The following is a 17,114-nucleotide window of genomic DNA, read 5'->3' as shown; positions in this document are numbered from 1 at the left end:
CACTAAGATTTTTATGAAGGGACAGTAATTTTTTTTTAAGCTCAGTGAATTCTAGTGTTAAGTAAGCCCCCCAATTTTTTTTTAAGCTCAGTGAATTCTAGTGTTAAGTAAGCCCCCCAAATTTAAGTGTTTTCAAAGGCATTATCTACAGCTGAGGTTAAGGAGTAAATGGTCAATTAAATAATAAAATGTTTAAATGTTTGTCTACAATAGTGAGAAATTTTGAGCATTTTTCTGAGTATAAAGTTAATCCTGAGACGGCAAAAAAAAAATTAAGAAAGTACAAGTAAACTATCAAAAGGCCAAATATACAAGGCAATATGTTTTGGGACCTCTATGAAGAAGATCACATAATGCCACTTGGTATATAGTGTTGCGGGAAGTCAGGGACCCCGAACGGCGGGACCCTGTGCTGTGCCGCGCAGTTAGGCAGCAGCAGCCATGGAGCAGTAGCCGCCGTGGGAGACAGCCATGAAGCACTAAGAGGTGGAGATTCTGCACGCAAAGACAGGGGAGAAGCTGTGTTTCCTGGACAAGGTGGAGCCCCACACCACCACTGCAGAGATCAAGAACCTCTTCACCAAGACCCCTCTGCAGTGGTACCCTGCCCACCAGTCCCTCCGCCTGGACCCCAAGGGCAAGTCCCTGAATGATGAAGATGTTCTGCAGAAGATGCCCGTGGGCGCCATGGCCACACTCTACTTCCAGGATGTGGGGGCCCAGATCAGCTGGGTGACGGTCTTCCTAACAGAGTACGGGGGGCCTCTTTTCATCTACCTGCTCTTCTACTTCTGAGTGCCCTTCATCTATGGCAACAAATATGACTTCACATCCAGTCGGCACATGGTGGTGCACCTCACCTGCATCTGTCACTCATTGCACTACGTCAAGCACCTGCTGGAGACGTTGTTCATGCACCACTTCTCCCATGGTACCATGCCTTGCGCAACATCTTCAAGAACTGCACCTACTCCTGGGGCTTCACTGGGTGGATGGCCTATTACATCAACCACCCTCTCTACACACCCCCTACTTACAGAGCTCAGCAGGTGAAACTGGCACTCGCCATCTTTGTGATCTGCCTGTGCTTGGCGACTTCTCCATCCACATGGCCCTGTGGGACCGGCGGCCCGCTGAGTCCAACACCCAGAAGATCCCATACCTCACCAAGAACCCTTTCACGTGGCTTTTCCTGCTGGTGTCCTGCCCCAACTACACCTACCAGATGGGGTCCTGGATCAGTTTTGCCATCATGACACAGTGTCTCCCAGTGGCCCTGTTCTCCCTGGTGGGCTTTACCCAGATGACGATCTAGGCCAAGGGCAAGCACCACAGCTCCCTAAAGGAGTTCTGGGACTACCCGCCCCTGCGCATGCCCATCATCCCCTTCCTGCTCTGAGCACTCACCCCTGCCGAGGCCCAGCCCCTCACCCTGGTGGCATTCTACGGGAGGAGTGGGGCCCACAGCTCTCCAGCACCCAGAATAAAGCCCGCCTGCCCCAGTAGTTTCAAAAACTAATTATATATATATATATATAAAATTAGCCGGACTACATGCCTGTAGTCCCAGCTACTTGGGAGGCTGAGGCAGGAGAATCGCTTGAACCTGGGAGGCTAAGGTTGCAGTGAGCCGAGATTGCACTTTGGCCTGGGGGACAAGAGCAGACTTCATCTCAGCCTCCCGAGTAGCTGGGATTACAGGCACCTGCCACCACGCCCAGCTAATTTTTTTGTATTTTTAGTAGAGAAGGGGTTTCACCACGTTGACCAGGTATGGTGGCTCACACCTGTAATCCCAGCACTTTGGGAGGCCGAGGCAGGCAGATCCCCTGAGGTCTGGAGTTCGAGACCAGCCTGGCCAACATGGTGAAACCCCATCTCTACTAAAAATACAAAAAAATTAGCAGGGCGTGGTGGCAGGCACCTGTAATCCCAGCTACTGTGGAGGCTGTGCTGCATGGGCTAGTGGAACCCACCCCCAATATTTCAACGTAGGTTCTTTCTATTTTCCCTAAGTGTTGGCAGATCTGAGAAATAAAGAGAAAGAGTACAAAGAGAGGAATTTTACAGCTGGGCTGCTGGGGGTGACATCACATATCGGTAGGTCTGTGATGCCCACCTGAGTGGCAAAACCAGCAAGTTTTTATTAAGGATTTCAAAAGGGGAGGGAGTGCAAGAACAGGGAGTAGGTCCCAAAGATCGCATGCTTCAAAGGGCAAAAAGGAGAACAAAGATCACATGCTTCTGAGGAAACAGGACCAGGGCAAAATCAGAAACTCCTGATAAGGGTCTATGTTCAGCTGTGCACGTATTGTCTTGATAAACATCTTAACAGAAAGCAGGGTTCGAGAGCAGAGAACGGGTCTGACCTCAAATTTATAAGGACGGGGTCTTTTCCCCACCCTAGTAAGCCTGAGGGTACTGCAGGAGACCAGGGCATATCTCAGTCCTTATCTCAACTACATAGGACAGACACTCCCAGAGCGGCCATTTATAGACCTCCCCTGAGGAATGCAATTCTTTCCCTAAGGTCTTAATATTATATTCCTTGCTAGGAAAAGAATTTAGCGATATCTCTCCTACTTGTGCATCCATTTATAGGCTCTCTGCAAGAAGAAAAATATGGCTCTTTTTGCCCGACCCTGCAGGCACTCAGACTTTATGGTTGTCTTCCCTTATTCCCTAAAATTGCTGTCATTCTCTTCATTTTCAAGGTGCACTGATTTCATATTGTTCAAACACACATGTTTTACAATCAATTTGTACAGTTAATGCAATCATCCCAGGGTCCTGAGGTGACGTACATCCTCAGCTTATGAAGATAAAAGGATTAAGAGATTAAAGTAAGACAGGCGTAAGAAATTATAAGAGTATTATTAGGGAAGTGATAAATGTCCATGAAATATTCAGAATTTATGTTCTTCTGCTGCAGCTCCAGCCGGTCCCTCCTTTTGGGGTCCCTGACTTCCCGCAACAATATAGATAAAAATCTTTTTGCTTGCCATTTAGTAAATAATGTCTTCCATGAGATGGAAAATATAAAATGTTTAATAATATAGTAGTCTGAAAATTACTACTCCCAAAGGGTTTTGCTCATTATTTTGTGTGATGTAAATATAAACACAAAAATGAATCAGATTACTATTTCTTTCTAAATATCCTTTTCATTTTACACTAATATATGTTCTAGAGTCTAAAAGGTCATCATTAGCCTCATTCTCTGACTTTTTTGGGGGGGCTTGTTGCTCATTAAAGGACAGTGAACAAGACAGGTAAGTACTAATTGCTCAATTTTCTCAGTGATAATTTTCTTATTTTGGTTTATTCCTCTCAAAACCCACGTCCTTTCATCTCTGCTCTACCTCAGACACTAGGATCATCAATGTGGAGGGACATAATAGTGTAGGGATGCCACCAGCTTAGGAATCAAACAGACCAGGTCCTGAATCTACCAGACTGTGGCCAAGGGCAAGTATCCTCACTTTCCAATGTTCTGTTTCCATGTTGGTTAAACTCTACTGCAAAGGGGATAAAAGAGGAATGCACATGTCCAACATAGTGCTTCCTGTGAAGCAAATGCTGAATGAATGAATGAATGAATGAACAAATTCACGTGATTTTTTTTCTGTTTATATGGTAAATAAACATCACCTAGGATACATTCATTAATCTATGCAAGTGTGCTATTTATTTTGTGATATGAAAGTGAAACTTATTTATTGTGTCTATAAGTATTGCATAATTTTTATTCAATAGTTTCTCTTCTAGTTCTCAGTGCCATATGGTTTTAGCAGATCAAATCACTGAAGCAAACTCTTTCTCTCCCACTCCTCTTTCTCTATCTCTTTTTCTCTATTTCTGAAAGCAAAAGGAGAGAATTGGAGTAAAAAATAAAACAGGAATATAAAAACTTTCCACAATTAAGAAAACAGCTAAAAGGTTTTATTTTCTTTTATTTGCCAAATTTGGACTTACAATAAGGAAAAGGAGTGCTGTTCTCTCAGTGTATTTCCCACATTAGTTGCCAGGGGTAACATAATGTGAGAAACAAACAGGAAATCAGTGGGGCACAGGCTTGCTCTTGTATCCTAAATCTTCCTTCCACGCCACATGTTTACAAACATGCTGTGTTCCTCTTGAAAAAAGCAGACACAGACACGCACCGACTTCAAGGCTTTCTATTGTGTGTGAAAAGGTTTCGTTGAGGAGCTCCTGCTGTCAATTTTCAGACAATGCCGAGGGGGAATGTCAGCTACTGACTACAAACTAGCTTGAGCAGAAGATTAGAAGTACCCCTCTAGTACTCCCAAAGGGGTATCTAATCTCTGCATACAAACTCTTTGGGTTTATAAATATATGTATTTTAAAATGAATAGGGACACAAGATTAGGATTTGTTATGGAAAGGGAAACTTGGCTTAAATGGCCATCATCTGGGCCAAAAGATATTGAAATTTAATGTTAGTGTCTTTGTTCCTTGGAGATCCTGCTGTGGTGCATTAGGAGGGATTTAGTCTCAGAAGTCAGTATGATAATAAAGGACAGCTTTGTTGAATGTCTGCTAGTCCTGTGACCGTTTACTGCTACTTACACAACAATGGCAAAATTCCTCTACAACCTGCGAGGATCCACAGTGTAAGAATTTTTATTATTTCCTTTCCTTGGGCTCTTCCAATTCAGGAGTCAAGTGTAAGTGGCACCAAAAAAAAAAAAAAAATCCATATTCTCTGCCTCAATGTTGTCCCTTAACTCTGTAGTCAGTTAATTAAATACTTATTAAAAGACTTGACATAGGTGCTTCTAGCAAGGTGCTCCTAATAACTTACCCATCCTTTTTCAGTCCCATGCACCCCACAGAGGTGTCTTCTGTGCTGCTCTAGGGCTGAATCCTCAGCAGTTGTAAAGCTTAGAGGGGCTGGGGAACCCAGAGGGTTAGCAATTCAGGCTTCGCTAAAATTCACCTGACATACTGCATTTCTAGTACTCCCAGAGGGGTATCTAATCTCTGCATATAGACTCAGAGTCCAGGTGACAATTCCTACTCTTCAGTATCAGGGCAGAGAAGTGGGGGAAGACAACTGGGAGGAAAGAATATTACAAGGTGGCCTTATGTAGAATTGGAAGCAGCCTTGACGGAGGTATTTTAGGGACAACAAAAAGAAATTAAACATTTTTTTCATGCTGCCAACAATTTTTCAATTTCTTTGGCTGAAAACTTTAATGTATGTATTAATTCAACAAAAATTTCTTGTACACATATGCCAGGCACTGCCCTAGACACTAAAGATGTAGCAGTAAAAAATGCCAAAAAGGTGTTTGTTTTAAAGAAGCATAATCAAATCGAATGACTTGAACAGTAAGTAAGCTGGATTTTTCAAGCAATAATATGTTATTGGGAGTGAATTTATTAGCTTTTCTTTAGAGAAGGTTTTAGGAGTAGTATAAGACAAAAATGAAGAATTGAGTTCTGAAATCATCTCTTGATATTTGAGTGAGTGAGTGAGTGTGTATGTGTGTGTGTGTTTATGAATAAAGGAGATTTGGAGTCTAGAGATAAATCCTTCCTTATTTGTCATTTTTATCAGGTCATTTATTATTTTGTCATTTTATCAAACCAAGCCAACAGAAGAGGTTGACTTTGGACTTCAGTGAGACTGATGAAAGCATAACATTGAAGATGGCAAATCTACACCGATGTCTACACTTACAGACACTTTTGAAAGAAAATATAGGATTCTTATTGGAAAAATAGCAAGAGACAAATTTGCTTCATTGCTACCTCAGAAATCAATGCTTAGCATTCCTTATATCAGGAATCCAGTTGATTTGTTTCTATGTCAGATGGTCTTTCTTTCACACTTGCTCCTTATAGTGAAAAGTGAAAATCCAGCAGAAAGTCTTAAAACTATAAATTTCGCACATTCAAGAGGAATTCATTTAACTCTGCCTATGTTTCTCCTTTCACTCTTGTAAATTGCATACATCTATGAAGTAGAGAAAAAAAAATTTTTCATTTTTAAATATAGACTAAAATGTTTTTCTTAAATTATTCAACATTTAAATGTTTTTACTAAAAAAGTTATAAACTAAATATTTACATAAGCAAGTAATTTTGAGTGAAGATAGCTAGTAGATTATATAACAGATGTTTTTATTGATGTTTCAGGACATAAAAATGGACTTCAACCACTGAAGTTTTAGAACTAAGGAGCACCAATTCTCCTTTTACACTTATTTTCTGTACCTTGCATTTTGTCATTTCCTCAAATAAGATTTAGACGGTTTTTTCTTTCCTATTTGTATTTTGCGACTGTTGAAAAAGATAGTATCTTTTGTAGATATTGTAAGTACCCTAAAATGAGACCATGACTTCTGTTTCCTTTATATTCCTCATAACTCCTGGTACTCAGTAAAACAGGTCACATTTGTTGAGTGAGTTTAAGTGAGTGAATGGAATAACTATTGTGATGCTCATGTGGAGACAGGACAATCAACTATAGCTATAAAACTGGAAGATTCTTCTAAAGTAAGATTTCCTGGGTTACAATTTTTAATCTTAGACATTTGAATCAATCATAATCACTTGAGCGACGTAACTATAGTCAACTAAACATATCACATGGAGCTTAAAGAAATCCAATTGGTGTTAAAATATGTAATATATAAGTTTTTCAGCTGTTCTTTTTCTGGAATTGGAGGTTTAGGTGAGTGGGTGTAAAAGGAAACAAAGCAACATTGCAGAACTTTAGGATTAGTAGTATGAAGAAATAATTTATGAGAATAAAATAAATAGAATATGAATTATCCTTTTGTGTTCCAAAGAAAATGCCTTAGAGAGGTTATGAATAAAGAATACTCATCAAAGCAGAAAAATTCAAAAGGATGCAAACTCCACAATTTCATTAACAGTGCACATGTTTTTATATCGGCTGATATTTTCTCTGCAGATGTTACTTTGAAAGTTTGGACTTCTGCTAGACCTTTGCCTCTAATGCTCATGACTTTGGTCTAATCACTGAGACATGGTTAGGAAAGACCAGCTGGAAGTTGTTTCTGGAGATGGAGCTTTATGTTTTCCCAAGGTGAGTGTAACTTTTTTGTTTTGGTATAGAAATGGTCTTTTGTAAAGCAACCCAGTGTAGTAAAGTTGTGGTATAAATCTGCTTGAGCATTCTCCTGGGAAATAGTAGAGCAAGCAGAATTAAGTTGACATGTTGTTTCCTCTACCTGCACCTGACATTTACTGACTTCAGCTCATATCTTGTTATGTTTATTGTTGTACGCCAGTAGACCCCAAATCATTAAATAATTGGTTGCTGCACACAGATAAAATGATTTGTGATTTCCCTACATACATGTCTCATCACTTCAATGGAACAAATTATCACAGAATTATTTCAATTTATTATAAGGTAATTGAATATTGATTGAGGAAATGTAATAAGAAGGAAAAAAATTAATAGGAAACATTTATTTTTAGAAAGAAAACTGCTTTCCTCCTACCAATGCGTGGTATATCTTCCCTTGTGGAATTCTGATCAATGGACAATTACACTGACTAAGACAAGAGGGTCTTGGTCATACCCTCTGTTGTGGCTACTATTTAACATTACACCCAGTACTATTGGTATCATGAATAACATAACAGCAACAACGAAAATAAAAATGGATGAACAACCAAGGAAATGCTGACAAGATTTTCATTCAAAAGTTAGTTGAATCACAAGGTTTGAATTCTAGCCTTGTGATTTACTAACTATGAAACCATGGGCAAGGTTTGTTCTATCAGTTTTCTTTCAGTTTTTTTTAATAGAAAATAAGAAGATAGAAGGTTAATAGCTATTCTTTATGCCTCAGAGTAAGTTCAATTTATATCACCAATGAGAAAAAAATCTTAAAAAATTGGCACATACCTGTAAAATATTATTTAGTATTTGTTACATGTAGTTAGTAAAATAAAATATAAAGTTTATAATTTGCAATATTAGCATCATACTTGCTGTTTTTCTAGGAAAACATAATCTCCTGATACTAATTAAGTCACTTAATTCTGGCATCTACAATATATTTGTAAAATAGAATACAACAAAAGAGTACATCCTATCATTTCAGAGACATCATTGCTATCATGTTTTTCTAAAGTGTCATTTAAATTATTTTTGGTTAGATTTAAACATGTTCATTTTTGGAGTTTCTTCTCATTCTAAAAATCCCTTTTCATGTGGAGGCTTTTATGAAAAAACTATATATAGTCATACACCATATACAATGTTTTGGTCAACAAGGGACCGCATATATGACAGTAGTTCCATAAGGTTATAATGGAGATAAAAAATTCCTGTCACCTAGAGACATTGTAACCATCATAATGTCATAGCACAATGTATTACTCACATGTTTGTGGTGATGCTGGTATAAACAGATCTACTGTGCTGCCAGTTGTATAAACGTATAGCACATACGATAATAAGCAGTACATAACACTTGAAAATAAACCAGAAACTATGTTACTGGTTTATGTATTACTGTACTATAAATTTTATCATTATTTTGGAATGTATTCCTTTTTACTTGAAAAGTTAACTGTAAAATAGCCTCAGAGGAAGGCATTGTTATCATAGGAGATGATAGCTCCATACAGGTTATTGCCCCTGAAGACCTTCCAGTGAGACAACATGTGGAGATGGAAGACAGTGATACTGATGATCCTGACCCTGTAGGCCGAGGCTAACTTAGTTAAGATGGGGCCATACTTAGTCCAATATGGCTGGTACCCTTATAAGATGGCCATGTGAAGACAGCGACACCAGAGAGAATGCCATGTGACAATAAAGGCTGAGACTGGAGTTGTGCCACTGCAATCCAAGGAACACTGAACACTGCCAGCAAATCATCGGAAACTGAGGAGAAGCAAGGAAGGATTTTTCCTACAGGTTTAAGAGAGAGCATAGCCCAACTGATACCTTTGTTTCAGACTGCTAGTCTCTGGAACTTTGACACAAACATTTGTTTTTGTAAGCTACCCAGTTTGTGGTATGTAGTTTGTTATGTCAGCCCTAAGAAACTGGTACCTGCAGCCACGTCAGTAACTAACATTCACTCAGTGCCAAGGTGTGTATCATGCGTTGAGAATTCTCTAAGTCCATAAGGCATTTCCTAGCATTAATTATATTCTATGGACTAAGACACTGAGACTAATAGAGGTACATTAGTTGGCCCAAATTTTCACATGTAGTATGTGGCAGAATTTCATCAGAGTTGTTTTTGATCCTTGAACCTGAGCACAGGAATCATTAGTCCAACTTTGAAGATGAGGAAATTGAGAGTCAAAGAGATTGATACACCCTTTGCCTTATCTTTCTGAGGTTAAATGTATTCATTTCCTGTGGTCTTTTTCTGGTGGCTATAGACCCAACATTTTTTTCTGTTACTTTTTTCTTTTTCTAAGCATATGCCCCTCATTTTTGGAACCTCAAACTTAGGGAATAATCTGATATAACTATAATCAGTGACGGGTTAGGAAGAGGATGACTCTGCTGTTCACACATGTATTTCTTTAAGCATTTCAGCACTTTTATGGGCCAATCTTGAACAGTGAGTGAGTTTAATGCCTGTTTTTTAAATGACATGAACAGTATGATTATAACAATAACCATCATTTATTGAGCACTACTAATGTACCAGGTTCTTACATACATGACTTTTTAAAAATCTAGCAAAGTCCCACAAGTTCATTACTATTATTTTATTTTTAATGTAAGAAATAATTGAAACTCAAGTTTCAGTTATTCTCCAAGGTTACATAGTAGCAAATGACCCAGAAGAGATTCAAATCAAGTTTAGCAGAATCCTAAAGTTCAAGTAACTGTTATTCTAATTCTCCTTCACTAAATAATATTACTATTCTTGTACTATTAACAAAATGAGACATGCATGGAAATTTTTAACTGGATCATTTTTAGACTCTAAATTCAGAGTTACAGCCATGTATCTGATACTGATCTGAGAGTGACATTGTGAGGGTGGTGTCTGCTGGAAATACCCGGACCAAGTTTGCAGGTCAAAATGTACATCAGTTTCTGGAACACAGAGGAAAATGATAAATCTATATTTTGCCCCAACACTGACCCTTGAGAACTAAAAGTCAAGAGTATGACTGCAGCCTTTCCCTTAACATTAGATCTGATGGAGAAGGTTTAATGACCCTGAAATTTAAAATGAAAATTTGTAAAACTCCAAGAGATGAGCAATGTCCATGTTTAGTAAAAGGAGAGGAGCGTTGTCAAAGAATATAGAAGAAGCTCAACTATGAGGGACTTCTCTAGCATATTGGTGTTAGAAAAGAATAACTAAGAAACGGAAAACTCAAAATTGTGCCTCTTACAACTTTTTATGCCTGCTGATAGAGTTTGTATGTTGTCCCCTCTAAATCTCATGTTGAATTGTAATCCCCAGTGTTGGAGGTGGGGCCTGGGGGGAAGTGTTTGGCTCACGGGGGTGGATTTCTCATGACTTGGTGCTGTCCTCATGATAGTGAGTGAATTCTTGCTAGATCTAGTTGTTTAAAGGTATGTGGCACCCCCCGCCCCCCACTAAACTCTCTCTCTTGCTCCCACTCCTGCCATATGAGACGCCTGCTCCCCCTTTACTTTCCATCATGATTAGAAGCTTCCTGAGGCCCTCACCAGAAGCAGCTGCCAGCACCATGCTTCTTGTACAGCCCGCAGAGCCAATTAAACCTATTTCCTTATAAATGAACCAGTCTCCAGTATTGCCTTATAGCAACGCAAGAATGGCCTAATATACCTGCAAATATCTTGAAACTTACTTGTATATACTAAGAGATATACCTACCTCACTTTGAAGACCACTGTATTAGAGGACTGGACTATCAAATTTATTGTGAGAGTTAAGGCGTCACTTAACTTCTTTATTCCTAAATTTTTTCATAAGTAATATGAGAATAATAGTTCACTTCTAAAATTTTCATTGGCATTAGATAACAATCAGAGAAAGTGCCTTTCTTTGCTTGTTTCATAGTGTGTTAGACCATTGTTGCATTTAAACAAATACCTGAGACTGGGTAATTTATAGAGAGGAGAGATTTAATTGGCTCTTGGTTCTACAGGCAGTACAAGAAGTATGGTGGTGGCATCTGCTTCTGGTGAGAGTCTCAGGCAGCTTTTACTTATGGCAGAAGGCAAAGTGGGAGCTTGAGAGTGGGGAGGAGGTGTCACACACTTTTAAACAACCAGATCTCACAAGAACTTTTTTTTTTTTTTTTTTTTGAGACAGAATCTTGCTCTGTTGCCCAGGCTGGAGTGTAGTGGTGAGATCTTGGCTCGTTGCAACCTCCATCTCCTGGGTTCAAGTGATTCTCCTGCCTCAGCCTCCTGAGTAACTGGGATTACAGGTGTGCACCACTATGTCCATCTAATTTTTGTAATTTTAGTAGAGACGAGGTTTCACCATGTTGGCCAGGCTGGTCTCAAACTCCTGTCCTCAAGTGATCCTCCCACCTCAGCCTCCCAAAGTGAGGGATTACAGGTGTGAGCCACCATGTCCGGCCCTCGAAAGAACTTACTATGGTGAAGACAGCACTGAGGCGATGGCTCTAAACCATTCACCAAAGATCCACCCTCATGATGCAAACACCTCCCACCAGGCCCCATCTCCAACACTCGGGATTACAATTCAACATGAGATTGGTAGGGACAGATACAAACTATATCATACAGCAAGTGTCCATTAAAAATATTATTTAATATTATTAGTATCATAAGGTCCACAAGTCTCTTTTTATAACAAACATAAGAATAGATACATAAATGCAGATGAAACAGGATGCATTACCATTCACACATTAGACCAGGTAGATTTTCACATTGATAGATTATTAGCTCACACAGTAGAGATTCATAAGAAAGGATTCAACCCCTTCAATTTCTTTTCATGATTGAAAATATTGGGTTGACACCATTAACTTGTTTTTCTCTTCTCATTGAATAATTCGCTATAATTGAGACTCACAATAGAGGTTTTACGACAATGTCTTTCAAGAGGCAGGTAAATACATTAATGATTGTGAGATCCAGTTATTGGTTTATGACAACATTTTTCAAAGTTAAATAAAAGAGAAAATCATATTAGAGTGTGTAACTCATGGTAAAGGTGAGTATTTTTTCATAAAACATATGTATTGATTATGTGTGAATATAACAAGGTAAATGTATCTCTTACAATTATTTTCAGTTAGAAAAAATCAAAGGGCTCTGTTTATAATCGTTTATGCCAAGGGGACCTAAGTAGAGTCACACAATGTATGATACATGTTCTCCTCACCTGAAAGCAGGAGACTTCCTCTGTGACTCTGGCCTGAGGCTTAAATAGTTTACATTGGTCACAAGATTAAGACAATGAAGACTGATATATATATATATATATATATATATATATATACATACTTATACATGTACACACATACTTGTAAATATGTAATACTAGATCCTTTACAGAGTATTTTCCTTTCAAATATCTCATTCTATTAACCCCATAACACATGCTAGGTGGGTCTGGCATCTACTGCATGCTTAGGAAATAAATTCTAGAGGGAAATGAATTACACAGGGCCACTTAATAAATCACTATGGGACCAGAACTAGAAACCAGACCTTTTGACTTCTACTGTAGAATTCTTTATACTAGTAGCTCTCAAATACTGGTCACCTAAAGAGTTACGTGAAGGGTTTTAAAAAATACAAAATCCTGAGTACTTTTAAGTTTTAACGGATGTAAGAAGAAGAAAAAACCTTGCATTTCTGCCTCACCATGTTTGAAGCATGAATGAAAATGTAAACTAACATTTATTCACCCATTGATTTTAAATTTTTCTCAAAAATTTATATCAAAACAAGGAAACATAAAAGTGATTGAGACATTTGTACCTTAAATTGTGACATATTCATTCTCAGAAGAGTCGTGACTCTTATCTTTGCATGTGCCTTGAAACAGTGTAGATCGATAGTGGGTAATAGAAAAGTTAAGTACCACTCTAGGAATGGACTTATTCAAGGGATTGCATAGGCTACAGAACACGTCCCTTCTATACTCTGTAAGCAGAGCTTATTGCCACAGTCTATGAGTTTGTCAAAGTGAATTTAAGCAGCAAATGCTCTTTGTTTCCCACCCAGCTTTCCTGCTTCCAGGGCTCAGCCTTTAATTCTTCATCCCCACAATATTTCATAGTTTTAGAAACTTGGCACACATAAAAAACATGCTAGAGTAAGTATTTTTTAGCAGTGTTTTTTCTTTTGATTATACAGTAGGAAGATTTTCACAGATGTTCAGCTCTTCACTCACTTCTGTTTCCTTCTGAACTCTTACTGCTAATTCAAATGCACATTCATCTATTGAAGTCACTTTAATTTTCTAACAAAGAACACACTTCAACAATTCTCCTCCTCATCATGCCCACACATTACAACTTCTCTGTTGAAGTGCATATTTACATGAAAACACCAAGTAGGGATTTTAATCTTGGTTTAGTTACTAATTTGTTGGGTGCTCTTACTCAAACTTTAAACTCATTATGCCTTAATTTCTATATCTGAAAAACGACATGTGTACAATAAAGAGTTTTTAAAGGTCTGTTTTAGTTCTAAAAATCCGTGATCCTCAGATTAGGAACTAACAATTATATTCTGAAATCTTACATTTGGTTCATATGTAGATTTAAGAAAGTATCAAAAACTATATAACAAGTAAGATAAGCTGATGGTTTGACAGGGATGAATAGTTGAATGGGTATGTAATAAAGCAAGTATAGTAAAATATTAATGGTAGGTGGAATGTACAAAAGCACTCACTCACTTTAATTTTTCTCTATGTTTGAACATCTTTACAATGAATCATTGAAAAATGCTATTGTTCATGTATATATATAATTAAATCTTTAATTCTCTGTATATTTTATATATATATTATATATATATATAATTAAATATTCTAAAAGCTACAGCTACTCACAAAGTCATATTTGGGATTCTTTAAAATAATTACACACACATGCTCTCCAAAGCATGTCTTTCCTGATTTGTCCAGCGTATTAAGAAATAAAAACTACAGTTTTTATTTCTTAGACTTTGCTCCATAATTCCAAGAGATCCAGAGGATTCCATGGTGATTTCAGAGCATGTCAAATTCACTGCAGCTGCAAAACACATGGTTTGGGCAGCTCACAGTGGCACTTTGAAATGTGATCTGAATTGATTAAAAACTTGTGATAACTACAAACTTTATTTTAGGGTTCATGATGTTTGGAATAATATGGGAAATAATATGATATTATATTGCTTACTGATTCCTATCATTTAAAAAATTTTCAACCACCCCAGTTGGGCATGATTAATTTATGTTTCCTCAATTTTTTTAATGGCATATGCATATCATTTAAGTTAAAGTGAACTAAATGAAACGTTATTTTGTGAATTGCAGCATTTTGTTGTCTGAGTAATAAGGCAGAGAGAAAGGCGGGAGGGAAAGAGAGAGAGAGCGGGAGAGAGAGAGAGAGAGAGGCATTCTCTGTACTAGTACATTGAACATGGTATAACTTTATCCTGTGGAGGTTCCAGAAAACAGCCTTAGCTTGCTGCCTTGAAAATGAAGCTTTAGATGCAGTGGAAATATTAGGGCTTTGCTGGTTTCAAGGCTTCCAAAGAGGAATGGCAGTGACATTACCTGAGAAGACTAAACTGTGGACATGATAATAGCCAGAAAGAGAGGCTAGTCTGCATGGCACAAGTAAAAATGCCAAGGAGAATTAGTGGGAATACCCAGCACAACTGAAAGCAGAGGCTGGGATATATAGTGTGACCCAGCAGAGGATGGCCACAACTGGAGGGCAGGAAAAATTAGCTAATACTGTGAGTCAGCTGAAAACACTTATTTATATTTCAGTGAAATAATCCTGAAGACATACTTGAAATATCTGGAAGTTGCAGGAATGAAATATGTGGCAATATTAGGAGGGACTAAGAACCAGTGATACAAAACATATGCGCACACACACACACACACACACACACACACACACACACCCTACATGCACATCTGTCTATATTTCTAATATTTAAAACAATTTTTAATCTGAAAATTGGCAAAACACATAGGCCATTACTGGATAGGTCCTTAACTGAGGCCATAACCTGTTCTTCAGTTTTGTCCTGTCTCTCCTACCTAATTTGTTCATATGTTCTTCTGAGTCTTCACCTAACACTTGTGCCTGGCAGTCCACGCAAGACTATAATTCTTTATTTTATAGCTGATTTCTCTTGCAGATAGTTCAGCTTCTTCATATAGCCTCAAACTTCAGGTGGACAAATATTATGTAAATGTTTTCTCACTCTCCCTCTTGAGGTTCCACTTGCTACTGCTCAGACGTGTACATTGCAAAAACTAGAGAAGGTATGATGTCTTTGAATATCAAGTTGTCTGCTGCCAAAAACGTCTCATCTTACTAATGTCCTCTATTCAGTGGAAAAGAGTTACTACTTGTCTATGGCTTTAGAAGGTAAAAGTAACTTATTTGGAAGAAAGGTTCAAAATGGCTGACTAGAGACAACTTGCACTCACCTCCTCCACAAAGAAGAACCAAATTAGATAAATAGTAGATTATCTTACTTTGAATAGCACATCTAAGAGAACACCGTGGAAAGCAGTAGAGACGGGAAATACCTGAGGCATGGCAGAAGAGCCAAGTAAGGCAGCCTGCTTACCCAGGATTGGCTGGGAGCCTGGAAAGTTTCCCCAGTACAGGGAAAGAGTAAGTGAGGGATCCCCAGTAGCCCATATTCCCATCATGGACTCATGCAATCTTATCCATTGGAGAGCCCCTCAACTCTCATGAGCCTTGAGACTAGTACAGGGAGCTGCCTGGAGTGCTCATGACAGCATTGCTCCGGAGGGGAAGCTCAATTGGGTTCTACACACCTGCCTGAGACTCAAGCAGCTGCAGTATGATGCCATTTGTCATTTTGAGAGTCCAGTTCCCACTAGACTATATACTGACCTGGGGCCAAATAGCCCCTTCCTCTCCATATCCCTGGAGCCTCAATGACTTACCTTTACAGCCACCCAGAACACTTCAGCCACACATTGCTGAATGAACCCAGCAGTGTGGCAGAGTGATATGGTTTAGCTGTGTCTCAACCAAAATTTCATCTTCAATTGTAGCTATGATAATTCCCATGTCTCATGGGAGGGACTCAGTGAGAGATAATTGAGTCATGGGGGCAGTTCTCTCCCATGCTGTTCCCATGATAGTGAGTAAATCTCACATGATCTGATGGTTTTATAAAGGGGAGCTCCCTTGCACATGCTCTCTATGCTCTCTTGCCTGCAGCCATGTAAGACATGCCTTTGCTCCTCATTTACCTTCAGCCATGATTGTGAGGCTTCTCCAGCAACGTGGAACTATGAGTCCATTAAAATCTCTTTTCTTTATAAATTATCCAGTCTTGGGTGTGTCTTTATTAGCAGCATGAGTACAGACTGATACATTAAATTGGTACCAGTAGAGTGGTGTGCTGCTGTAAAGATACAAGAAAATGTGAAAGCAACTTTGGAACTGAGTAACAGGCAGAGATTAGAACAATTTGGAGGGCTCAGAAGAAGACAGGAAGATATGGAAAGTTTGGAACTTCCTAGAGACTTGTTGAATGGCTTTGACCAAAATGCTGACAGTAATATGGACAATAAAGTCCAGGCTAAGATGGTCTCAGATGGAGATGAGGAACTTGCTGGGAACTAGAATAAAGGTGACTCTTGCTATGTTTTAGAAAAGAGAATGGTGGCATTTTGCCTCTGCCCTAGAGTTTTGTGGAACTTTGAACTTGAGAGATGATTTAGGGCATCTGGTGGAAGAAATTTCTAAGCAGCAAAGTGTTCAAGAGGTGACTTTGGTGTGGTTAAAAGCATTCAGTTTTATGTATTCACAAATATATGGTTTGGAATTGGAACTTATGTTTAAAAAAGAAGCAGAGTATGGAAGTTCAGAAAATTTGCAGTCTGGTAATGTGATAGAAAAGAAAAATCCATTTTCTGAGGAAAAATTCAAGC

At 38.5% G+C, this 17,114-nt stretch overlaps 1 pseudogene, besides 2 other annotated features; it reads left to right on the top strand.

Moving 5' to 3' along the window:
• TECRP2 (trans-2,3-enoyl-CoA reductase pseudogene 2) lies at positions 402-1,504 on the top strand (annotated as a pseudogene).
• Positions 2,341-2,541: a silencer, noted in NCBI's record as "peak5101 fragment used in MPRA reporter construct". NCBI's record gives its function as "represses an SCP1 promoter by STARR-seq MPRAs in K562 erythroleukemia cells {active_cell/tissue: K562}" and the evidence as "EXISTENCE:reporter gene assay evidence [ECO:0000049][PMID:32103011]".
• Positions 3,877-4,444: an enhancer, noted in NCBI's record as "OCT4-NANOG hESC enhancer chr4:125380973-125381540 (GRCh37/hg19 assembly coordinates)". NCBI's record gives its function as "activates a minimal SCP1, AML or CMV promoter by ChIP-STARR-seq in primed H9 embryonic stem cells {active_cell/tissue: H9 hESC(primed)}" and the evidence as "EXISTENCE:reporter gene assay evidence [ECO:0000049][PMID:30033119]".

This window comes from Homo sapiens, chromosome 4 (genome assembly GCF_000001405.40).
Source record: "Homo sapiens chromosome 4, GRCh38.p14 Primary Assembly".
Lineage (NCBI taxonomy): Eukaryota > Metazoa > Chordata > Mammalia > Primates > Hominidae > Homo > Homo sapiens.
This window is presented reverse-complemented; position numbering and strand designations above follow the sequence as displayed.